The 26,267-nt window shown below is 40.9% G+C and overlaps 2 pseudogenes; both read left to right on the top strand.

Moving 5' to 3' along the window:
- Window positions 1,655–2,910, top strand: PSAT1P2 (phosphoserine aminotransferase 1 pseudogene 2; annotated as a pseudogene).
- RPL21P37 (ribosomal protein L21 pseudogene 37) lies at window positions 22,081–22,638 on the top strand (annotated as a pseudogene).

The following is a 26,267-nucleotide window of genomic DNA, read 5'->3' as shown; positions in this document are numbered from 1 at the left end:
GAGACTTTTGTTTTTGAAATCTTCTGAGATGAGTCCACTAGTAGGAAGAGGTGCTTACCTAAATAAACAAAAAGTCTAACATGAGACCATCAGGTAACTATGTTTGCCTTCCTGGTGATGTTTTTCTAACATGGATGAGGGAATAAAATACTCTTGCAAAGATTTAGAGCCTCAAGATACTTCAGGCATAGATGAAACACATTTTACCATGAACCTGGACATCTGAGAGGTGGTTCAGAGCAAGTAAAAGCATAAGAGGATTTATCCTGATGCTGTCTTTGGTTGGAGCCTGAAGTCAATTACACATATAAAGTTCTAATCCTCACACAGTTGTGCTTTTCCTTATGCTGCTGATACTCAGCACCAAAGTCTAGGATTTTTTTCATTAGAAAATTTTTCTCATGAATAGTGTTTTCTGCCAAAGGGAACAAACTTGCTCCAAACAGAACAGCATTACAAAAAGCACAAGAAAGACATTTGTCAATAGGAAATCACACAATGAAATGTCTGTTGAGTGGATGACCCACAGTTGGAAGTAGTTGAGAGGAAAGTACAGTCAAGGGCCCACACAATACACTGGGTGAGGCTGTGGCACATGCTATTATCAGAGGGCCATGAACACTTAATCTACCAGGGGATGACTTAGCTTAAATCCAGCAAGTGATAATTTTCTTTATATTTCTTGGGGAAAATGGGAACACTTTTATGTTCATAAATACTGTTTGACTGTAGGCCAAGTTTTAAGTATGGTTAAAATTCTGAGAATATTAATGACTATCTGATGGGGAAGGATGGAACAACCTCTATTAGACAACGGCATGATTGAAATTTTATTTTTTTTCATTGACTATAACATTAAGAATGCATCAAGGAAAAGAGCCTAACTAATAATGGTTAAATTTAGGAGCTAGGGCCATTGGGAAGAGGCTACATGTACCTCTGCTTATGTTTAGTACATCGCTGGCAGTCAATACACTTAACATAATTTTACTATATAAATTGATTATTTACAGAGACAGATGAGGCAAATAGTTCATTTTTGTAACAGTAAATTCAGGATATAAGTACTTCAGAGATGGTCAATTCAGTTCCTAGCTCAAGAGCTTATACTCTAGCTTTTAGTCTCGGAAACAGGCAAGTAAATGAAGAATTGGAGAAAGCATGATGTGTGTAAGTACAAGGAGAGCAGAGGAAAGAAACACCTTAATCCAGCAAGGGTGATCTGGGGAGGCTTCCAGAGGAGATGACACCTGGGCTGAATCTTGAAGGATAAATAAGACAGAAAGGAGGGAAAGGAGGGAAAGGGCAGTGGGAATGGGAGGAGGAGGTCTAGATGAAGAAGGCAGCAGGTACAAAAAGAAAAACACATTGCTTATTTAATAGTGCCGTGTGGTTGGAATATAGTGTTTGTGTGGGGATAGGAAGAGATTTGGCTAGAAAAGTAGGCATGAAGGACATGTAAGTGTCAAACTAAGGAGTATGAGCATCAGTTATTAAGGCTACCCGCAGCCATTAAGGAATTTAAGCAGAGAAATAATATGATCAGATAAGCATGTTAGAAACAATTCATTAGTAGCAGTATGATGTCAAAGTATAATTTCCAAAGAGTTTAAAAACATGAGTCACATATTAATAGAGAATGGACACTGGTCAACAGGCTCCTGCCACTGCAGGTGGGGGGATGCATGCTGCCCACACAATAGGTCCCCCCCCCAGCTGATTCCCTACCCTCCATCACACCATGAAGGCAGGTGGTCAACTTCGGCCCTGGGCCCACCAAGGTGCTGAGCTCAGTGTTGTTAGAGATAGAACAATAATTATTAGACCACAAAGGAATTGGCATTAGTGTTCTTGAAATGAACAACAGGTCATCCAATTTCACTAAAATTATTAATACCACAGAGAATCTGGTGTGGGAATTGTTAGCCATTCCAAACAACTACTGTACAAGGTCATTTTTGTGCAAGAAGGTGGGTCTGGCCAGTTCAGTGCTGTCCCCTTAAACCCAAAGTGCCTGAAAGCAGGAAGGTGTGCCAACTATGTGGTGACAGGAGCTTGGTCAGCTAAAGCTGCAGAAGCATCCAAGAAGTTTGAGATCGTGAATATCAGCTACCCTAAACTTGGGAGTTATATGAAAATTCCAGATTCAACACCTGGAACCTCACCCTTACAGCTTCGATGTGTAATGCTGCACAAATGACTGGCACAGAGTGGAGTCTGACTTTATATCTGATCTCAGGAAGCACTACTGGTTTGCCACATATCCTCAAACTTTCTATCGAAGGCAGTGGATGCTTCCAGGTTTGGTGTGATTTTTGCTGGTGCCCAGAAGCATGTTGGTTGTTTTGGGATGACAGTAGTGATCATCTGCAATGACTGCTGGGGTCACCCTCAGAGAATGGCCCTCCATCCGGGAATACAAAGTGCATGTTGGAAACAACTTCTTGTACAACATGCAACAGTATTTCAGCAACTATGTCATGGGCTTGTTCCTGGTGTAGATTAAGAATGATGGCACTGCAGCAGTGGTGGAGAAGCTTAGCTCCATCAAATCTAAAATAATAATTTATGATATTTTTAATAATTCTTAAGGATTCTATGAACATCCAGTAGAGCCTCATAATATTCCATTATGAGAAAGATGAATATTCCATTCCATACTGGCAATGTCAAAGGAGATGGTGCTTTATAAAAAAAAGATTTCTTGAAAAAGCTCTTGAACTCAATATGCTCTCCTTGGAAGAGCACAGATCTCCCCTCTGTACAGTACCATCAAGAGTGAAGATGTTCAGAAGCTGGCAGCCCTCATAAAAAGTATTTTGGAGATGAACCAGCAATGAATACATCCTAACCAATATATATTCTGCCCTTGAACAATGTTCAAAATTAAAAGTAACTTGGGAATAGGTATGAAAACTTAAACATGCTATTTTTCTCGAATGAATGTGCTTATGATAGATTCTTTTTTCAGAGAACAGCAAAATATCACTAGTTTGGGAAAGTCGGTGGAAATTAACAGCCACCTTAATTCCAACTTGAACTGGAAGAATTTTCAAATCTTCCTGTTGCTTGTCTAACGAATTCCAGCTTAGTTTGTCTTTGCTGCTACTTTTTCTAGCTAGGTCTCAGTATTCAAACTTGCCTATTGACTTAATTATGCAAGTTACAGTTAATTGTGTCTGGAGGCACAGGAACACACAGCTTAGTTAATGGGTGGGGCCCTCTAGGTGTGAATCTAGATTCTAGATTCTAGATAGCAGTGGAGTCTCCTGGGTTCTTCAGCTAATAATTAAGATCAAATTGACCATTTCGTGAGTATTTAAGAGTTTCAGGCAAAAGGTCAAACTGTTGATATTTCTTTATACAGTTATATGCATAAAGAGATAAAAGTGACATACTGTATGTTTATATAGCAGGGTATGTTTCAATGCCATATAGTTTATGTTTCTATGCATTTTTTTTCTTTCTTTTTTTTTTGAGACGGAGTCCCGCTCTGTTGCCAGGCTGGAGTGCAGTGGTGCAATCTCAGCTCACTGCAACCTCTACCTCCCAGGTTCAAGTGATTCTCCTGCCTCAGCCTCCCGAGTAGCTGGGATTACAGGTGCACACCACCACACCAAGCTAATTTTTTGTATTTTTAGTAGAGATGGGGTTTCACTGTGTGAGCCAGGATGGTCTCAATCTCCTGACCTCATGATCCGCCTGCCTCAGCCTCCCAAAGTGCTGGGATTACAGGCGTGAGCCACTGCACCTGGCCTATGCATTTATTTTCTAATAATACTCAGTAATATATCTAGAGACTTTCAGAAATGTGTTAGAATCCTTGACCTTGCACATTACAGCACTACATTTGCAACAGTTGTTCTCCTCTTCTGCACCCCCCACCCCCCTTTTTAAGCTGCTTCACACAAAAGATCTAGTTCCATGATTCACTTTTATTCTCCTTTCAATAGCAAAGAGAAAATTGATTGGTTGACTTGTTCTTTGTTTTTTAAGTGTGCCATTAATCTAAAAATCACTGTTAAACTCCAGTATCCTTTGTTTACTTGACTGTTTTCTTTGTGGTGGCCAGAGTAGTGCTGTGAGTTCTGGAAGATTTTTGCTTAAAAGTCTTTTCCTTTATTGTTTATCTATTGTCAATATTTTATGTAGAACATGTGAAGAACATGAAAGTCCCAGAACATCTTTAAAAGAAAATACAACAGATGAATGGATAAAAAAAAAAAAAAGTATACATACACAATGGAATACTATTCAGCCTTTAAAAAGCAGGAAATTCTGTCATTTGTGACAACATGGATGAACCTAGAGGACATTATGCTAAGGGAAATAAGCCAAGCACAGAAAAAAAAAAAAAGTACTGCATGATCTCACTTACGTGCAAAATCTTAAAAAGGTGAATTCCAAAGAAGTAGAGAGTAGAATGGTGGAGATAAGGGCAGAGGAGAAAAGTGAAGCCTTTGGCCAAAGGGTATAAAGTCTCAGTTAGAGAGGAGGAATGGATTCTGGTGACCTACTGCATAGCATGATGACTATAGTTAATAACAATGTATCATATCTTTCAAAATAGCTAAAAGAGTGGATTTTGTCATTTCTCATCACAAAGAAATGAAAAGCATTTGCAGTGATGGATACGTTCATTAGCCTGATTTGGTCATTCCATAGTACAAACATGTATCAAAACATCACATTGTATCCCATAAAAATACACAATTATTATTCATCAATTAAGAATAAAACTTTTTAAAAATGGAGAATTGTCAAAGATTTTATTGAATTCATTAAATAGTGCAGAAACTAGTAATTTGGTTAAGCTGGTTCTAAGAGACTTAAGGAACGGGTGTTTATATACACCATCAAGAGAGGACCCAATGTCAGCTTTTAATTTTTTTTTAAGTTAGTGACAGATCTGGTGGCTAGTGTTAGAGCAGTAAAACACTGGGAAGACTACACAGTGAGTAGTACCATGTACACTGCTCAGGTGATGGGTGCACCAAAATCTCAGAAATCACCATTAAAGAACTTTTCCATACAACGAAACACCACCTGTTCTTGCAAAACTATTGAAATAAAAATAAAATAAACAAAATAAATAAAACATTGGGATTACCTCTTCTATCAGAAAAAAAACTTTGCATCTCTACCATGCAAAAATCTACAAGTTAACATGTAACTAACTGCCTAGTGTGAGCCCTTAATTTATAAATTCCAATAATAACAACAGTAATAACTTCAATGGAGATACATTAACAATTTTAAATAGTTATTGAGTAGATCTATTTAATAATGCTTCAGCACCACATTGAAAGGACCTACCTACTGTACTGTCTTGGCCTTATTTCTAAGTGTTGTACATGTATTCTTAACTGTGGAATGCAGCAAGAATAAGACAGGCCAGGGGCAGTGGCTCACACCTGTAATCCCAGCACTTTGGAAGGTCGAGTTGGGTGGATCGCTTGAGGTCAGGAATTCAAGACCAGCCTGGTCAACATGGTGAAACCCTGTCTCCACTAAAAATACAAAAACTAGCCAGGAGTTGTGGTGTGCACCTGTAATCCCAGCTACTTGGGAGGCTGAGGCAGGAGAATCACTTGAACCCAGGAGGCAGACGTTGCCATGAGCCAAGATGGTGCCATTGCTGCACTGCAGCCTGGTGACAGATTGAGACTCTGTCTGAAAAAAAGAAAAAAAAAGAAGACAGAAGCAGGAAGACCAGTTAAAAGTCACTGTAATAATTTTAGGGAGAGATGGCAGATGGCAAGAGTGTGAAGGCAATAGAAGTGGGATGGAGAGGTAGAGAAGGAGATGAATTTGAGAAATTTGAAGAGAGTAGAATGAATATGATTTAGCTATTGATGGAATGTGGATGCTCACAGAAAGGAGATCCAGGAATGATTCTCAGGTATTTGGCTTGGGTGATTGAACAAAGGTATCATTCTTCCAGGCTGGACTGGAGAAGGGGAGTAGTTCTGGGGATAAAGGTAGGGGGAAATGATGAGATTAGTCTACAGAGTGTTAATATGAAGGGATGATCAGCCTAGAAAAGGGATTTCCAACATGTGGGCCTGGTCTCAGAAGGGAGACCAGACTGGAGACACAGGAGAGTTATTTACATACAGGTAGTATAGGGCACGTGTACATTTAGTTTATGCAAATCCAAGTACACATCTTTGTTTTTGTCAAAACAAAGACAAAAAATAGGGAGAAAGAAAATCAATAGTTAAAATGATGTGATGATTTTTTCCCACCATTCCTCTCAGTGTCTGTCCCCAAATGAACATGAGAAGAGAGGCAGGTTTCAGATTCCCTGGGCTGAACATCTCCCTATGCTGGGTGTTGGTCTTGTGCTTAAAGATGCTGTGCCAAGCCAAGCTCAGTGGTTCTGTAGTCCCAGCTACACAAGAGGTTGAGGTGGGAGGACTGCTTGAGCCCAGGAGTTCAAGGCTGCAGGGCGCTATGATTGCTCCTGTGAATAGCCACTGCACTCCAGCCTGGGCAACATAATGAGACTCTGTCTCTAAAAATTATCATAATAATAATAATGATGCTGATACTGTGCCTGTTTTTCCCCTTAAAATTCCATGGTTCTAAACCTAAGTCAAGTCATGTAACCTGGTGCTTAGCTGAAGTTCAATACTTTCTTCTAACACTGGAGGAAAACTGTGCAGACTTATTAGGAGAAAGTGCTATTCTGTGTCCATGGGCTATTCGAAGGATTTCCAAGGGTAGATTATATTATACTTTGCCCCCTTGACTTTACAACCTTCCTGTCCATCCCCACTCCCAAAACCCTCTGTCTCAAAATTTGATCCCAATATAGCTAATGCCAAGTATTTCAGCAACGTCATCTCAACAACCTGGAAAAAGTGAAGAGGATAGAGAGTCTACGACGCAACTTCAGAGAACACCACATCTAAGGAGGGCCTGGAGGACCAAAGTCCTTAAAGGAATCTGTAGAGAATTATCCAGCGAGGTAGGAGGAAGGAACCTCAGAAGAAGAAGGAAGTTAAAGGAGGAGTTTTGAGAACCGTTTGGTCTATAACTTCAAATAACAGTTGGGTAAGATAAAGGCAGACAAATATTCAGACTTGGCAATAAGGAACTATTGACCTTAGCCCCAGACATTACATCAAGCTAGTGGTGTAGACACCAATTGTAGTCAGCTAAGGAATGAGTAAGAAAAAAGAGACAAGCATAAGTTTTTTCCCCAGTAACTATAACGGGAAGGAGACAAATGGGTAATTTGAGGAGGCCCACTGCATGTGGATGCTCAGGTGTGTAATGGTCAATCCTAGGGGATTTTACTCACTGTGTTGATTCTGTGAATGCTGCTGCTGGGACATGCAGTTCACAACAGGAGGGATAGCCTAATTTTAAGAGGGACACTGAGTTAAGGAAAATCTGTTTGTTCATTTGTTTAGTATTAAGTAAGATTTAACTTGATTATATACTGGTAGGAAAAAGTTAGAGTGGAGGAAGTTGTAGAGGTATGTGTGTACATGAGAGAGAGAGGAAGAGGGAGAGAATGGTTGAGAGCATGAGGTTTCTGAATAGAAGGGGTTTGATCAACACACACTGGAGTATTTAATCATGAATAGAATGAAGAACACTAATTACAGTGAAATGGGAAGAAAGCAAGGGAGAAGACAATTTGATGGTAAAGAGTGGGGATTTATCAGGAAGGGGTGTGTGTGTGTGTGTTTGTATAATAGTAATATTAGTAGTGGGAAGAGGGGGAGGAAAACTGATTTACTGTGAGTAAAGGGGAGAAAGGAATGACTTAATGGGGAAGAGAGCTTGAAGTTTGAAACAGCCACTGAAGATAATGAAGGAGGAGATTATTGAGCATGCAAAAAGATTATAGTGGTATTGAGGGTCCCCTCATATAGGAGAGACCAGGACTTTGTAGTGGAAACAACCTTTGGCAAAGCTTAAAAACAAATCCTGAACTAATAACAAGGAGTAAATGAAGGAAATCATTCATTTAAGCATTCTTTGCATTTTAAGAAAAGATGAGTAGGGTTAGTAATCTACTGAAGAGAGAAAATAATCAGAATTATTCATTAAGTATATCCATAAGCAGACAATTTAACAGTCAACCACAAAAGTGAAATAGCTAAGTAAAGGAAGCAATATTATATAGACATCATTTTTTTGTTTTAATGATGTCACTTAAATTAGGACAAAAATTTCAAAAGAAAAGCCATAAAGGTAAATGCAAATGTATATAGTTCCTAAATGATGGAGATGTTATGGAACAGGGTCCCCCTAGACTTCTTCATTACCCTACATTTAATAAGCTCTTTATTTTACACAGAAATTCACTTTTAAAACAGATTATAGAACATTATAGTTTGGAATATAACACCTTGGATTGGTATTATAGATGGTGTTAGATGCTTTGGGTCCAAGGGGGCAGGATTTTCTAAATGAGTTCAGATTTCATATTGTGCATAACCAATATGACATGCTTTGACAAATTGAGTTACAAATATGGCCACATCTCTTGCCCAAAACTTCTCTCAACTTTCTCCTGGTTCATGAATCCATTATTAATTTAGAAACATTTATTATATTCCTCTAGGTACCACAGTTCCCTTCTGATCTCTCTAACTACTCATTCTGTGCCTTCTTTGCTAGCTCCACTTCCTCTACTTGTGTCTCTTATTTTAGAAAGAAGTTTTTATTAAATATTGAGTAGATATAAAACAACATTTCTAAGATACAGATAATGAATGAAGAATGCAAAAACATCCAAGTATCCACTGCTGCCCCTAGGGTGTGTGGGGCCACAAGTAAATATTTTTTTGTGAGGTCCCTGTCTACATGAACAATTTGATTTTAAAATTGCCCTACAAAATTTATGGGCCAATGTGAGGAATGGTGATTTATGCATGAAGATTTAAAGTAATTAATAGAAAAGACATTCTTTGTTTATTGTTCAATCAGCACAGATGAAGATTCTTCCTAGAGTCCAGGCACCATCTCTTCTTACTCAGATTCAGGAACCATCTCTTCAAGTTCCTTATTGAAAGAACTGTTCCTGGTTAATTTCATATCTTTCACATCAGAAAAAAAGTTGCACTGCTCTTAATTCTCACAATGTCATGGCTCTTTAAACCTGCTTGTATTTAAACAATGTAGATCTTCTTACCTCTGAAATTCCCTGATTATAATTTATTTAATACCGATGATATCATTACTCATGACTCTGTCTCACACATTATGCTGCAGGGCTGCCAAACACTCAAAGATTGTTCTGGGCTACAGTTCACATACAGGAAAATGTGAACTGTAATTTGTTTTCCAATCATGTTAAATTTACTGATAGGAAATGTATGGCGAAAACTTAGAAAATATCTTCCAATTGAATCTCTCATTTTCTGTGATTCCTGCATTCCTACAATGTGATCTCTTTCTATCTTGACCACACCTCTGCCTTCCAAACCCCACCACCAGCAGGGAGGATAAGTCAGGGGCCAGGGCAGAGACCAAAAATCGGTCCCATTTGCACAAAAAGGTCAGATCCTTGTCCCGAAAGGCTTAAGATAGACCTGAGAGACCATGATGTTATTGATAGGAAAGGCCCATTGGCACTGAGGAGCAACAGCCTCTAAATCCCTCAAGAAGTCAGGCAAGGCCACCCATGGGGATGGTCTGACATGTGGCCTAGAGCCTGCGGACCATCCTGGGTGCCAGTGATGGGTGGGATGTGCATAGGGTACAGGATGCCCACTGCCATCCCTGCTGACCTCGGGTGCTGTTTGCTGGAAGTGACCCTGCAGTGGGAACACCCGTGAACATGGGTACTCCAAAGGCCTAACTTTGTCTTTAGTCCAGCACGAATGAGAATCACTCCAAATCAGCGTGTCTTCACCTTTCTGGTGGCTCAGCAATCCTGCAAAAGAAATATCTCACTGGCCAGTGGGAGTGATCTACTCACCAGGCCACCCTCCAGAACCCAGGAACCATCTCATAGGGGAGAGTCTCAAAGCTCCTCTGGGCATCTGGTTGACCTCGTGGTGGTGAAGAGGTGGGTTGGTGGAGAGTCGGAGAATGCCCCAAAGGAGAAATGTGCCCTGGGGAGAAATGGAGGTCCAGGACCATGAGTCCCGTTCTGAGTATTGGGTACATTGCCCAGATAGCACGCCCAGTCCACAATGGTCCTAGTCACTGGAGTACTCACCAACTTTTGAGAAAAGCGCTTCTGAGGACTGGGACCCAGGTGAGATCAGGTTTGGGCTCAGGTGCAGGACTGATCTGCACTCCCCAGCTGATCTCATGCACCGGAGAGAGACTTAGAACATTCCAAGGAAGGCACTCCAAAGCCTGGGGCCCAGGGCAGAGGCCCAGAATGTCCAGCACAAGAGAGGTATAGCAAGAACTATCTAGTTTAGGAAAATAAACATTTCTAAGTTCTCTGTAAGCCCCTTCCTGATCCCAGCCCTAGCCCTTCACACTCAGAGATAAATGGATTTATCTCTGAGACAAATAAAAGGAAATTAAAATGTTCCTTATTTTTCTTTTTTTACCACATATATTTGTGTTCTTTTTTAAAAAAACAACATTGCTGGGCATCGTGGGGCATGCCTATAATTCCAGCTATTGGGAGGTTGAGGCAGGAGAATCACCTGAACCCAGGAGTTTGAGACCAGCCTGGGCAACATAGTGAGACCTTGTCTCATTAAAAAAATAAAATAAAATAAAATAAGACTTTTTTTGTTAACTTCATATAAGTAAAATTGTATATATGCTTGCTTCTTCATTAAATCCATGGATCAATTAGGAGAGAATCAAAATCTGTATGATTAATTGTACTATAGGTATGTAAAGCGTTAACAACAGGGGAAACTGGATGAATGATATATGTGAATGCTTGGTACTATTTATTGAACTTTTCTGTAACATTAAAATTATTTCAAAGCAAACAATTTTTTTAAAATGAGGGTGGAGATTGAATAAAAAGGAAAGGCAAGTGCTGACAATCATTGAAGCTGAATGGTGGGTACATAGTTCATTTTACAATTTTCTCTACTTTTGTGCATGATTAAAATTTCTATAATTAAAAAAATTTTTAAAGAAAACAAAAAACTACCTGGTTTTGGTATTTACTTTGTGGGTCAATTTTAAACCAATTCATTTTCTTGACTATGTTTTGGAATATTATTTTCTGTTTCCTCTTGAGGAAGTTTTAGTAAATTCTATTTTTTCTATGAATTTATCCATTTTCCTAAGTTCTCCAACTTATAGCCCTGCCGTACATTATCCTCCTAATTAACCATTTAATGTGTCCATCAACTGTAATTATAACCTCTCTTTTGTTCTAATATTTACCTATAAAAGGCTTTCCAAAGAAATAATTTTTGGCCTTGTGAATCCTTTCTGTTGTATTTTTATTTTCCATATTATTAATTTCTACTATCTTTATTATTTCTACTCTCTTACTTATTTTTATTTCATTATTATTTTTCTAACTTCTTAACTTATTGTTAGTCTTTCATCTCTTCTAATAAAAGCATATAAGGCTGTAATTTCTCTCTAGATCTTACTTTATCTACATTAAATACATTTTTATTATAGGGTCTTTGTGTTCACACATTGTATTTTCTAATTTCCATCATAATTCCTTCTTTTGCCCACATGTTATTTAGAAGAGGATATCTTAATTTCTCAAATATGGACTTTCCTAGTTATCCCTTTGTTATTGATTTCTAATTTAATTGCATTAGGTTCAGAAACTGTGGTCTGTATGATTCCAATTTTAAATTGTTGAGATTTGTATTCTAACCTAGCAATGTGGTCAGTTTTCAAAAATACTCCATGTTGGTTGAAAAGAATCTATATTGTGTAGCTGTTAGGTGCAGTGTTCTATGTACTGTACTTAATTAGCACCGGCTTGTTAATTATGTTGTTCTAATCTTTCTCCTTACTGATTTGGTCAACTTTATCTAGGTATTTAACAGCTTAGAATTCTTACATCTTCTTGGAAGACCGAACCTTTTTTATTTTTTTATTTTTTTTCTTATTATTTTTATTATTTTTATTATTTTTTTGAGACAAGGTCTCGCTCTGTCACCCAGGCTGGAGTGCAGGGGCGGAATCTCTGCTCACTGAACCTTCCACCTCCTGGGTTCAAGCAATTCTCCCACCTCAGCCTCTCGAGTAGCTGGGATTACAGTGGCACACCACCATGCCTGGCTATCTTTTGCATTTTTAGTAGAGACAGGGTTTCACCACGTTGGCCAGGCTGATCTCCAACTCCTGGCCTCAGGTGATCCACCCGCCTTGGCTTCCCAAAGTGCGCGGATTACAGGCATGAGCCACCACGCCCGGCCTGAACCTTTTTTATTTATGAAACTCTTTATGAAATGTTCTCTTTATCTTTCGTGAAGGTTTTTGCCTTAAGGGTTATTTTGTCTGATACTAATATAGCAACACCAACATCCTCTTGGTTAGTGTCTGCGTGATACAATTTTTTTTCACGCTCTTATTCTTAACATTTTTGAATCCTTATGTTTTAAATGTGACTTAAGAGAATATACCTGCATTCTTTAAAACACAATATATACTACCAGTCAGTCTTTGCTTATAAATTGAGTAGTCTATTTTACTTATTGATACATTTGGATTTATTTTCACCATCTTATATTGTGCTTTTTATGTATCTTGAACCTTCAATATTTTGTTTTTTCCTCTATTCTCATCTACTTTGTATTATTCTTCTCTTTCCACTTTTTCCCTTTATAGTTAAAAAGTTATACATTCTTGGTAGTTATGCTAGAAATTTTAACTTGGAAACTTAATATCTTTACCATCCTACCACACAATAAACACTTTAATTCTGATCCTCCCCTCCCAGTTACATGCTATTGACAGCTGTGTATTTCATTTCTATCTTGTTTTTTCAGCCCCTTAAGATATTATTTTTTAAAAAGATATTTTTTTAAAAAATTATTGATCTTTGTAGCCAATATTTATTTACAATTAAGCACATATTCAGCACTCTCCTTGCTCCTCATTCTTTTATTCATCTCTGACCTTCCTTGTTCCCTTTCTTCCTGCCTAAATAGCAGCCTTTAGAATTTCCTTTAGTGAGGGTCTATTGATGGCAAACTCTGTTTTTGTTTCTTTGAAGGTGTCTGACTTTGTCATTGTTTTTGAAAGATAATATTCAAATTCTGGTTGACAGTAATTTTCTTTCAACACATTGAAAATGTTAAACTTTTTCTGGCTTCTGTAACTGTTAAGAAGTCTAATTGCCCTGTTGAAAGTACGCTAATCTGTCTTATCTTTCTCTGGCTGCTTTTCAACTTTTTTTCTTTGTTTATGGTATTCTGTAGTTCAACTACATGATGTCTAAGTGTGAATGTCCTTTTATTTATCCTTATTGGGATTGTTGGGCTTTTAAAAACTGTGGTTTGTCATTTCTAAAAAATCCTCAGCCATTACCTCTTCAGTTATTACCTTTGCCCTTCTCCTTCTCTCCTGTCTGTCTGGAACTCCAATTAGATAATTGTTATATTTTTCACAAGACTGTCTTCATGTTTTATAACCTTTCATTCATATTTTCTGTCTCTTAGGGCTACATTCTGGAAATTTTCTTGGATCTATCCATCTGAATCTATTCTCCAGTTGTGATTATTCTGCTGTTAAACCTGTCTATTGTATTTTTAATTTGAAATATTACCTGTTAAACTTCTAGTAGTTCTTTCAGGTCTTCTTCAAATCTTCTGGTCATGTTTTATGCATATTTTCATTTTTTTCTCTTATTTCTTTTAATATATTTAATAGGCTTATTTTATGTTCTGTGTTTAGTAATTTCAATAGCTAAAGCTTTGCAGTCTGATTCTGTTATTCATGTTTATGCTGGCCTTTGCTCATGCTACATTATTGCTATGGTTTGGTTTGTCCCTGCCAAAACTCATGTTGAAATTTCATTCCCAATGTGGCAGTGTTGGGAGTGGGAGCCTAGTGGGAGGTGTTTGGGTCCTCATTAAAGGATTATGGGGGTGGATTCTTCATTCATAGATTAATGCCCTCCTGCTGGGGTGAATTTTTGCTTTTGTGAGAATGAATTATTTCGGAGAGACCAGGTTGTTAATGTCTGGCTTCTTCTCTTGCCGTGGGATCTCTTTGCAGGTATCCCCTCCCCTTCTGCTGTCTGCCATAGTGGAAACAGCCTGAGGCCCTTGCCAGATATAGATGTTCAAACCTGGACTTTCCAGCCACCAGAATCGTCAGCCAAATAAACTTCTTTTCTTTCTAAATCATCCAGTTTCAGGTATTCTGTTATAGCAACACAAAACTGACTAGAGCAATTATTTCCTTTTGCATTTTGTGATTTTGACCATGAGCTTGTATTTTTTTTAGAATTTATTGATGAGAAGCCATCGAGGCCTGTGTTGAAGATGGGTACTTCTAGAATAGGTTTGCATTTGTTTCTGTCAGTTGCCTGGAAACTACAAATTAAGGTTTACTGTGAACTTAATTCTTGACTTGAATTTTTTGGACTCTAAAGAACAGTGTGAATTTGAGCTGCAAGACTGTGTGAGTGCTGGCTATGTTATGAGTTCTCAGGGGAGATGTTTTTTTCTCCCTCCATTTAAAGTCAAGTCTCAAGGCAGGCAATTTTCCTTACAATACTCTGGGGCTTGGGGAAAGGCAGTAAGTTAATTTGTAACCCATCCTTACACAAACAGTGTAATCTTTTGTGGACCCAGCTCTAAGCAGAGGTGGAAGGGACTACAGTTAGACTCACTCTGTGTACACGTTGACCACTGTATTCACTTATTCACTCATGTGAATTTGGCAGATACTCTCAAGGCAAAAACCTCTCCAGGTTTCTGCTTATACTCAGGAGTAAGGAATACTCAGAGGTCAAGTATTAGATGCAAGTGGAAACCCAAGAAACCTCTCCAAGTGGAAACTTCTCCTGTGGAAACCTCTCCTATGGAAACCTCTCCTATGGAAACCTCTCCTGTGGAAAACTCTCCTGGGTTTCCACTTGCATATAATACTTGACCTCTGAGTATTCCTTACTTCTGCCAGCATAAACATGCACTTCAAAAGATTAAAAAATACTTTGTTAATTATTTGTAGTTGTTTTCAGTGAGCTATCATTCAAGGTATGTAGTCTGTCATACTGCCAGACATGGAAGTCCCTCTGCTGCTGCCTGAGGCTTAAAAGTCAATTTCAAGGGTTTCTTCCTTGGTCCTCCCCTCTTCTCATTCTACAGGCCCTCTCCCTCTAGACAGTTTTACTCATTCCCACTACTTTGGTGCTCCTTACCAATTAGTCCCTGACCTATACCTCTGTGTGTTTTCTATAGCTGCTGAAACAACTTTATCACAAATCTGGTGGTTAAAAAATACCATGTACTATCTTATAGTTCTAAAGGCCAGAAGTCTGAAGTCAGTTCCAACAGGCTAAAGTCAATGTATCAGCAGGGCTGGTTTCTCCTGGAGGCTCTAGAAGAGAATCCCTTCTCTGCCTCTTCCAGCTTCTGGGAGATTATTGCTTTCCTTGGATTGTGATTCCTTCTCACATCATTCCTTCCTCTTGCTTCCACTGTTACATCTATTACTCCCTCTGCTGTAGTCAAATCTCCCTCTGTCTCTCTTTTATGAGGACACTCGAGACTATATTTAGGGTCTACCTGGATCTCCAGGATCATCTCCCTATCTCAAGATGCCTTACTTGGCTGGGTGTGGTAGCTCATCCCTGTAATGCCAGCACCTTGGGAGGCCTAGGTGGGAGAATTGCTTGAGCTCAGGAGTTTGAGACCAGCCTGGACAACATAATGAGACCCTGTCTCTACAAAAAATAAAAAATTAGCCAGGCGTGGTGGTGCACGCCTGTAGTCCAAGCTACTCAGGAGGCTGAGGCAGGAGGATTGCTTGAGCTCAGGAAGTTGAGGCTGCATTGAGCTGTGTTTGCACCACTGCACTCCCATCTCAAAAAAAAAAAAAATTCCCTAACTTAATCACATGTGTAAAGTTTCTTTTGCCATGTAAGGTAACATCCACAGGTCCCAGGGATTAGAATCTGGGTATGTTTGGGGGCCATTATTCAGCCTACTACAACCTCCAATCCTCAGCTGCAGACTCAAACTTTCAGTTTCTTTCTCAACTTTTCTCATTACCCAGGCGCTTTAAACTCACTTTTATCTAAAACTGAACTATATTCACCAGCTGTTAGTGACATCACCATCTTCCCAAGCATCCAAATGCAAAGTCAGTATATACTGCTTCTTTTTTCACCCTTTGTCTCCAAACAGTCACTGAGTCCTTATCTAATCTACCTCTAAAAGGTCTCAAATCCAGTCCTCTTCCTTATTCCCACTGCTACTGCTTTCCAGATCTTGTTATCTACTATAATTGTGACCTAACTGAATTTCTTACCTCTGTTTTTCTATGGCCATTAACCTGTTGCCTTGAGTTATCCTTTTTTTTTTTTTTTTTTTTTTTTTTTTTTTTTGAGACAGGGTCTCACTTTGTCACCCAGGCTGGAGTGCAGTGGTGCAATCTCAGGTCACTGCAGCCTCGACTTCCTGGGCTCAAGCCATCCTCCCACCTCAGCCCACTGAGTAGCTGGGACTACAGGCATGCACCACCACACCCAGCTAAAGTTTTTTTTTCTTATTTTTTGCAGTGACAAGGTTTTTCCATATTGCCCAGGCTGGTCTTGAACTCCTGAGCTCAAGTGATCTTGCCTGCCTTGGCCTCCCAAAGTGCTCAGATTACAGGTATGAGCCACCACACCCAGCTATCTTTCTACAACCCAAATGACTAAGTACTGTCTTCTTAAAACTTCCTCAATGGTTCTACCGCTGTCTACTCCATAAAATCCAAGATCATTCAAGGCCCTTTGCAATCTGGCCATAAAGTGAGAGACCAGTCTCATCTTTGCCATGCTCTACTGAGTACTGTGTGTTCTAGGCGACCAAACTTTATCGTATCCTGAACAATCCAGCCTCAGCGCTTTTACATCTCTTCAAGACGCAGCTGAATGCTTAAGTTTTCTGAGACGTGTTGGGAGACCCCGCCACACAGTTAGAATTAATGCTCTATTAACACTCGAGATATTGATTCAATCATTTACTGAGGGTCAGCTATGTCTAGGACTCTACGGTAAGCATTGGGCATGAAATGGTGAACAGGATGCAGACAGATCTTTTCCTCACAGGGTTCATAGTCTAGAGAGGGCTCCAGACAAGTGAACAGGCTGTTATAATATCATGCAAGTGTTCTGACAGGAAAGCGTAAGATGGTATAGGAAGAGACAGAGGGGCACCTAATCTAGATATGGACGATCATCAAGAAGTTGCAGCTAATCTGAAAACAGGTGGCAAATAAGAATTAAGGGAAAAGAGGGCTGGAGAGAGAATGTTCCAGGATGAGGGACAACGTGTGTAAAAACCTAGATATGAGAGAAAGCACAATGTACCCACAGAACTGAATGATCAGCAAGGCTGGAATGGAGACAGTGGGGTGGGGAATGTTGAGAGATGAGGATGGTGAGGTAAGCGGGGGTAGAAGTGATACAGTATTTTTTGCTGCTTAGTTCAGCTAAAACCAGGTTCTTGTAACACGACCAGGAAATATTAGGAACGCAGATAAACTGAAAGGTGAGGAGAGGGAAATTTATTAAAAGAAAGCTCTCAGTGAAAAAAGAAGGGAGTATGCTAACTGTCTCCCACCTCACTGATTGAATACCAGGCCACCACACATGAGCTGAAGCGGCCAGGCTCCTCCCCGCTGCACAAGGTGCGAAATTCCTGTGGCTCCACCCCAGTCTCTCAGTGTGCAGGTGGGTCACCAGTCTGTTGCGGGCATGCACAGACAAAACTCTGGACAGGTTCCCTTATCTGCACAAAAGCATCTGATGTAAACACTTGTGGGGTGGGTCAGAGATTGTCCGGGGACAACCTTCCCCCGCTAACTGACCAATCCCTACCCTTATCTGCCTCCTGCAACTATCAGAAGGCCATAGTCAGAAGCTGGCCATTCTAAGTACAAAGGAGGGCCACTGAAGGGTTTTGAGGGGACGTGCCAGCCCTTGAGATAGAGTGACAAAAAGAGAACCAGATGCTGGGGAGCTGGTTCTGTTTTGGAATGTTGTATAGCAATGCACTTTGTGCCCTGCTTTCTACCCTGTTGGCTCACCTCTGATGCCAGTGCAGCTGTGGGGAACATGTCCCTGCACTCTGACACCATCACTTTTGCTTTTCTCCTCACAGCTTTCTCCAGAATTGGGAAATCCCTCAACCTGGCAAAAGTATAGCTCAAATGTGCCTCAGCTACCATTTCCTGGTGGCAGTCCTCAACCAATGGGTGCCGGGAATTGGTGAACAACGCCCCAGCCCCCCAGCCTCCAGAGAAACAATTCTAAGTGACATGGATGATGATAACCAGTCTATGCCCACAGTGATTATCAGCTCAGCAATGTACCCTTTACTGGCTTTTCTCCTTCCATATGTCACTATTCCTGCTCCCTCACTCCTGCTTCCTGGAATTACCTTCCCAGAAAAACTTCATTCAGGTAAGCCATAGTCCTAGGCTCTACTTGAGGGTAGGGGAATCCAAACTAAAGTAAGTGTCTGTAGGACTTCAAAGTAAAGATCCAAGTTAGACTTTCAGGAGAAGAGATTTGGGGTAGAACTATAAACTTACGTTTTCTTCCTAATGGGAGCTGACAACACAGAAGTAGATGAAATTTTCCAGTAATAGAAGAAAGGGGTCTATGAGGAACCATGAGGAACAACAACATTTCTGGCACAGGCAGAAGAAGAGTCAAGGAGACAGAAACGACAAGAGAGGTAGAAGAACAAAGAAAGTTTGCAACATGGAAAGCCAGGGAGGAGGAAGTTTCAAGAAAGAGTAGGTGAATCTATCCCAGCAGCAGCCAGGGTGGGCCTCTGTCCTCGAGCAGCACTGGAGCCAGACTCAGTTCCCGGATCTTGCAGCCGAGGAGCCTCTCAAGCATCCACAGCCCCCACCAGTGTGGGGACGGTGGATCCTGTGGTGGACATCCCCGGGGATGTGACTGCCTGATGGTGGCAGCAACAGCAGCAACATCTGAGACCACGGAGTGGGGGTCTTTGGCAGAGACCCCAGGGCAGCTGAGGCAGCTGGGCTTCCTCCCAGCTCCATCAGCCTTTGGGTCCATGAGAATCCCTTATCCTTTACAGCCCTGCCCTGGCTCTGGGAAACTGGGGATGGCCTCTGTGACCCCCCTTTGAGAGGTGAAGCCAGCTGGACTTCTGGGTCGGGTGGGGACTTGGAGAACTTTTCTGTCTTACAAGAGGATTATAAAATGCACCAATCAGCACTCTGTAGCTAGGATTGTAAAATGCACCAGTCAGTGTTCTGTGGCTAGCTAGAGGTTTGTAAAATGGACCAATCAGTGCTCTGTAAAATGGACCAATCAGCACTCTGTAAAATGGACCAATCTGCACTCTGTAAAATGGACCAATCAGCAGGATGTGGGCGGGGACAAATAAAAGAATAAAACCTGGCCACCCCAGCCAGCAGCAGCAACCCACTTGGGTTCCCTTCCATGGTGTGGAAGCTTTGTTCTTTAGCTCTTCACAATAAATCTTGCTGGTGCTAACTCTCTGGGTCCGTGACATCTTCAAGAGCTGTAACACTCATCACAAAAGTCCGCAGCTCCATTCTTGAAGTCAGCGAGACCAAGAACCCACCAGAAGGAACCAACTCCAGACACACCCTGACGTGGGATACCCCATTTCCTGAGGCATGGAGAGGCATCACCCCAGTAAGTTGCCCATGCCCTGTGCTGGCAGCCTCCCTTTTACCCCCAACCATCCTTTGCTCTAGCTTCTGGCCCCAAATTTGTCCAAGGAGCCCCCCATTCAAATCCTTTCCCTGCTGCCACGTGGCCTTCCCTGTCCCACAGCTTGCTCTGCAAGCCTCCAATGTCTGAAGATCTTCCAGTGTCACTCATGGCCCCTTTAGTCTCAGCCCAGCCATAAACTTCAATGCAAAGGATAAGTCTAGATTGATTTCACAGTTCTTTTAACAAGTGGACTTAAAAGCTAGTGGCAATACATTCCTTCTCCTCAGAGTTGAAGGCAAGTTCTCCCTGAAGCCTGGGTGACACATGTCCTTTTCCTAAGACTGGGGAAGAGAATTGGGAGTGGCAGCCAGTTCGGCAGGAAATTTGTTAGCAGGGGAAGAAACTCAGATGGGAGTGAGGAACTTCACAGGAAAAGTCTGGAGGAGCATCCAAGGATGATCAACATTTATTTTATGTGTGGGAAGCAATGCGACTTTACTGTTATTGACCCTTTACAATATCCCCTGTAAATGTATGTTTAGGGTTTTCTTCTGAAAAAGAAAGAAATTGTTACTCAGCCAGTAAATGATACTTAAAGAGAGAAAGAGGGGGAAAAAAGGAAGGAAGGGAGAGAGAAAGTGGGAGTAGATGAAAGTGAGGGCGAGAGAAAGAAAAAGAAAGGAATTGTTATTCAGCCAGTAAAAGATACTTAAAAAGAGAGAAAGAAGGGGGGAAAAGAGGGAGGGTGGGTGAGTGTTGCGGGAAGACAGGGACCCCAAATGGAGGGACCAGTTGAAGCCATGGCAGAAGAACGTAGATTGTGAAGATTTCATGGACATTTATTAGTTCCTCAAATTAATACTTTTATAATTTCTTATGCCTGTCTTTACTGCAATCTCTAAACATAAATTGTACAGATTTCATGGACACTTATGACTTCCCCAATCAATACCCTTGTGATTTCCTATGCCTGTCTTTACTTTAATCTCCTAATCCTGTCAGCTGAGGAGGATGTATGTCACCTCAGGACCCTGTAATAATTGCATTAATGCACAAATTGTACAGCATGTATGTTTGAGCAGTATGAAATCTGGGCACCTTGAAAAAAGAACAGGATAATAGCAATTGTTCAGGGAATAAGAGAGATAACCTTAAACTCTGACCGCCGGTGAGCCGGGTGGAACAGAGCCATATTTCTCTTCTTTCAAAGGCAAATGGGAGAAATATCACTGAATTCTTTTTCTCAGCATGGAACATCCCTGGGAAAGAGAATACACGCCTGGGGGTGGGTCTCTAAACTGGCTCCCTTGGGCGTGGCCGTCTTTTATGGTGGAGGTTGTAGGGGTGAAATAGACCCCAGTCTCCCATAGCGCTCCCAGGCTTATTAGGAAGAGGAAATTCCCGCCTAATAATTTTGGTCAGACTGGTTGCTCTCAAAATCCTGTTTCCTGATAAGATGTTATCAATGACAATGGTGCCCGAAACTTCATTAGCAATTTTAATTTCGCCCTGGTCCTGTGGTCCTGTAATCTCACCCTGCCTCCACTTGCCTTGTGATATTCTATTACCTTGTAAAGTACTTGATGTCTGTGACCCACATCTATTCGCACACTCCCTCCCCTTTTGAAAATCCCTAATAAAAACTTGCTGGTTTTGTGGCTTGGAGGGCATCACGGAACCTACCGACATGTGATGTCTCCCCAAGACACCCAGCTTTAAAATTTCTCTCTTTTGTACTCTGTCCCTTTATTTATCAAACCGGCCGACGCTTAGGGAAAAGAGAAAAGAACCTATGTGACTATCGGGGCAGGTTCCCCGATAGGTGAGAAGGAGGAAGGGAGGAAAAAAAGAGAAAGAAGCTGGGAATGGTTGCTCAAGCCTGTAATCCCAGCATTTTGGGAGGTCAAGGCGGATTGCTTGAGTTCAGGAGTTCTAGACCAGCCTGGGCAACATCGTGAGACCCTGTCTCTATTAAAAATACAAAAGTTAGCCGTGCATGATGGTGCACACCTGTAGTCCCAGCTACTTGGGGGCTGAGGCTGAGGTGGGAGGATCACTTGAGCCCAGGAAGCAGAGGTTGACATCGTACCACTGCACTCCAGCCTGGGTGACAGAGTGAGACCCCCTGTCTCAAAAAAAAAGAGAGAGAAAGGAAGGGAGGGAATGACTGATAGTGTCAAATGTTACTGAAAAGTAAAAGAAAGTATAAAGAAGTAGGCATCAGATGTAGCAAATAAAGGTAGTTTATGACTTGGAGAAAAGGACTGTAAAAGAATGAAGTACCTTTCGGCCAGAACCGCCATCTTCCAGTAATTTGCCAAAATGACAAACACAAAGGGAAAGAGGAGAGGCACCCAATATATGTTCTCTAGGCCTTTTAGAAAACATGGAGTTGTTCTTTGGCCACGTATATGCGAATCTATAAGAAAGGTGATATTGTAGACATCAAGGGAATGGGTACTGTTCAAAAAGGAATGCCCCACAAGTGTTACCATGGCAAAACTGGAAGAGTCTACAATGTTACCCAGCATGCTGTTGGCATTGTTGTAAACAAACAAATTAAGGGCAAGATTCTTGCCAAGAGAATTAATGTACGTATTGAGTATATTAAGCACTCTAAGAGCTGAGATAGCTTCCTGAAACGCATGAAGGAAAATGATCAGAAAAAGAAAGAAGCCAAAGAGAAAGGTACCTGGGTTCAACTAAAGCACCAGCCTGCTCCACCCAGAGAAGCACACTTTGTGAGAACCAATGGGAAGGAGCCTGAGCTGCTGGAATCTATTCCCTAGGAATTCATGGCATAATAGGTGTTAAAAAGGAAAATAAAGGACCTCTGGGCTGTAAAAAAAAAAAAAAAGAATGAAGTAGCAAAAACTAGGTTACAGTGAGTTGAGTGTTTAGTGGGAAAAGAGATATAAAGACAGTGAGTGACTATGGGAAACACTTTTAGGAAGCTTGGTTTTAAGAGGTAAAAGAAAGATAAAGAGATAGCTGGTTGAATGAGGTGTGTGTGTGTATGTGTGTGTGTGTAAAAGTGGGAGAGGCTTGAGCCTTTTCTGACCATTTAGGCTCATAAACACCAGTGGACAGAGAAAGAGGTTGAAGGTAGGGGAGAGTGAGGAACAATAACGATTTCCTGGAAAAGGCAGGAAAGGATGGATTCCAGGTAGATTAGATTGAGTCTGAAGAAGGGACATGCCTTCCACTGAAACAATAAAGTGGTTACTTACTTATTTTCAAGATGAGCAGGTGGTTAATTCCAAAGCATTACTGTGATACATGAAAGGAAATGCTGGGAAAGGAAGTGTGGTCCCTTTAAATGATATGGAAGGGAGGAGTGCGTGATCCCTGGCTAGGGCTTTACCCCATGGCCTCTGCCCATGGACCTAGGTGAGGACAGGCATTTTTGTTTTCCTGCCCAAATGTTGCATTTCCCAAGACCACCCTGGCCTGCCACGCTCCCATCCTGTGCCTATAAAAACCCCAGACCCTAGCAGGCAGACATCCAGGCAGCTGGACATCAAGAGGAGTGCATCAGCAGAAGAACACATGGGCAGCTGGACGTCGAGAGGAATGCACCGACAAGTACCAGCACGCCGGCAGGCCACCAACCACTGCAGCAGGCCACAGACCACCCCTGCAGAATGACACGGAGTTTGGCTGGGGCAGTCTGAGGAGAGCCCAGGCTGCTGAGCTCCAGGGGAAAACCATCTCCCTTCTGGCTCCCCCATCTGCTGAGAGCTACTTCAACTCAATAAAATCTTGCACTCATTCTCTGAGCCTATGTGTGATCCAATTCTTCTGGTACACCAACCCAAGAACCCCAGGATACAGAAAGCCCTCTGCCCTTGTGATAAGGCAGGGGTTTAATTGAGCTAACACAAGCAGCCTATGGAAGGCTAAACTAAAAGAGCACCGTGTAACACACGCCCATTGGGGCTTCAGGAGCTGTAAACATTCACCCCTAGACACTGCCATGGGGCTCCCTGCCCGTCTGTAGACTCCCCTACAGGCTTGTGCAGCGGGGCACTGAAGAAGCAAGTCACACCCTCATCTCACGCCCTGCGAGGGGGACAAGGGAACTTTTCCCGCTTCAACTGTATGCTTATACTTACCTTGCTCTAAATTGTCTTTATCTGTTAGAATTTAATGGTATTTAAACATTGGTAATAGTTGATAACAAGTATAATATGTTCATCAACTAATGTACTTGATGTTGCCAACATATGAAAATTTGAGTCCTTCAAATGTCATATGAGTATTTGCTTCATGGTCTGAAAAACATGTTTCTCAGGTAGGGAGATAAAGGGAAACATTATTACATTTCAGCCTGGTAATGTGGCATTACATGACCCCGGCTGCCTTTTTAGGGGAAGTCAGCAAATTGTTTTACTTCTTCGTGATCTGTTTCTCATTTATAAACTGGGGCTAATATGATGGGTACCTAAGCTCTAATTTATTCCTAGATATTGGTCACAAGCTAAGCTTCCATAAGTTAAACCTTTATTATCTCTAAGGTTATTAGTGAAGATAGTATTCCTGGAGACCCGTTTTACACTATAAAATACCAAAATCAATCATGCAAAAACAAAGATATGCTTTTACAATGATTTTCTAAGTTTAAAAAGAAAAAGTCAACGTTGTACATGATCTTTTGGAAGATACTTCTTTATCAACTAACTGGCTGACGCTTTCAAAAACACAAATCCAAAGAAATTCCAACTAACGATATTTTATTTTTCGGATAAATCTCCCCAGAGCAAGTAAATGCTTCAGTGCTCTAAGGACTTTCAAACTGTGATCAAAATTAGGGCCATCTGTCCAAAATTTCTAACCATAAATTCAGTGGGTAGACATTTCTTTGAATGTTCAAGTTTTCCATGTTGCTGTGTCCTCTTCCTTTTCTCCTTCTGTCACTACTCCTCATCCTCTTCCCATCTCTGCACCCAATTTTATTATTACTGAATACTCATAGCATACAATAGCCTTCATCTTTAGCAGACTTTGTGGGCAAATTATTTGATGCCACTCTGTTGGTTCTTATGGCTTCTTCCCTGAACAGCTAATGTTTTGCCATCTTCCAGAAGTGCTCTAAAAAGCTTTTGCTTGCAGTAAAAATTTCCGCCTTTGATGTCTTGGGGCAGCTCTTTGAAAGATAGATACAGATAGACAATGGCTTTGCAAGAGTGTTGCCTAATTCAAGTGCATATAGGTTTGCTTCATCTACAGCTGCATCCATAAAATCAAGTTTTTCCACTTTACTCCTAGAGCCAATCAACATAAGAGCAGCTTTATTTTTCCTGTCACCTATAGTGAGAGTCATAAGCAAGCACCATGGTGAGATTTAGCCAAAACTGGGAGGATCATATTTGCAATAAAAAAGGTCATAAAAGTAGGGGTCTAAATTGGAGCCATTATGAGTGAAGAGCCATCTGTACCCTCCTATCAGTGTTTATGGTAATGATTTAGAGCATGAAGTGCTTTAAAAACTGCAAAACATTATACAAAAGGGAGGAATTATTGTAATCCAAACCCATATAATACACACAAACCAAACAGCACTAATGCTTTCCTCATACAAATCTGTGTGGTTAAAATTGGAAGCACTTCTTTTCCCTAAAAATCATAGGCTTCTTGCTGAGTTAAAGAAGCATTTTGGTCATCACAGAAGAGTAACACAAAGTGAACAATCCACCCCACGACTAGGAATGAAGCCACTCTTTCTCCAGCCTCCTCTTTTGCCCCCTCCATCCTTATACATTATGTACTGCCGGCCTCCCCGGTATCTTGCAGGGATCACTGTCTGCCACTCGGGATGACATCTCTCGCCTTGGAGTTTTCAGACTGGAAAAATCCTGACAGCACTGTACCATTCAAACCTGAACCCGTCTCTCACCCCAGTGGCAGACTGTTAAATAAAAAACTCTGTCCTTCCCCAAAGCTTTTAAAGGATCAATGTTTCCTTTATTTAAGTACAAAACAAAGTAAGGAATACCCAACTAACTTGCTATAAGCAAAGAAATTTGAAATTCTAGTCACATCCTGAAAAAAGTTAAGAGAGCTTTTTTCCACAGGAGGCTCCTACTAATGCCTTGTGTGACTTTCCAAAACGCTCAGGCAGAAGAATGCTTCAGAAATTCAATCTGGGATTTGCTGCCCCACCTACTCCTATAGGGCCAAAATGCCAAATAAGCTCTGAGAAATGAAGCCTCAAAACAATTGCCAAGCCATTTTTCATTCCCTTAAATTTCCAAAGATTAACATAAGATGGAAATGTTGGGTACATTTGCATGTGTTAACTAAATAATGTTTATTAAATGCCAACCACACCTACACAGGTTGTCCCCTTCTTCTCTTAGCTGACTACAATTTGCTTCTATTATAGTATTTCTTATAACAGTAGAAAAATGACTACGATAACAACTACAGGAACTTTTACTACAATAACAGTAACCAGTAGCCTTCATGG

Source organism: Homo sapiens, chromosome 2 (assembly GCF_000001405.40).
Source record: "Homo sapiens chromosome 2, GRCh38.p14 Primary Assembly".
Lineage (NCBI taxonomy): Eukaryota > Metazoa > Chordata > Mammalia > Primates > Hominidae > Homo > Homo sapiens.
The sequence above is the reverse complement of the archived record's forward strand: the minus strand, read 5'-3'. Positions and strand labels throughout refer to the sequence as shown.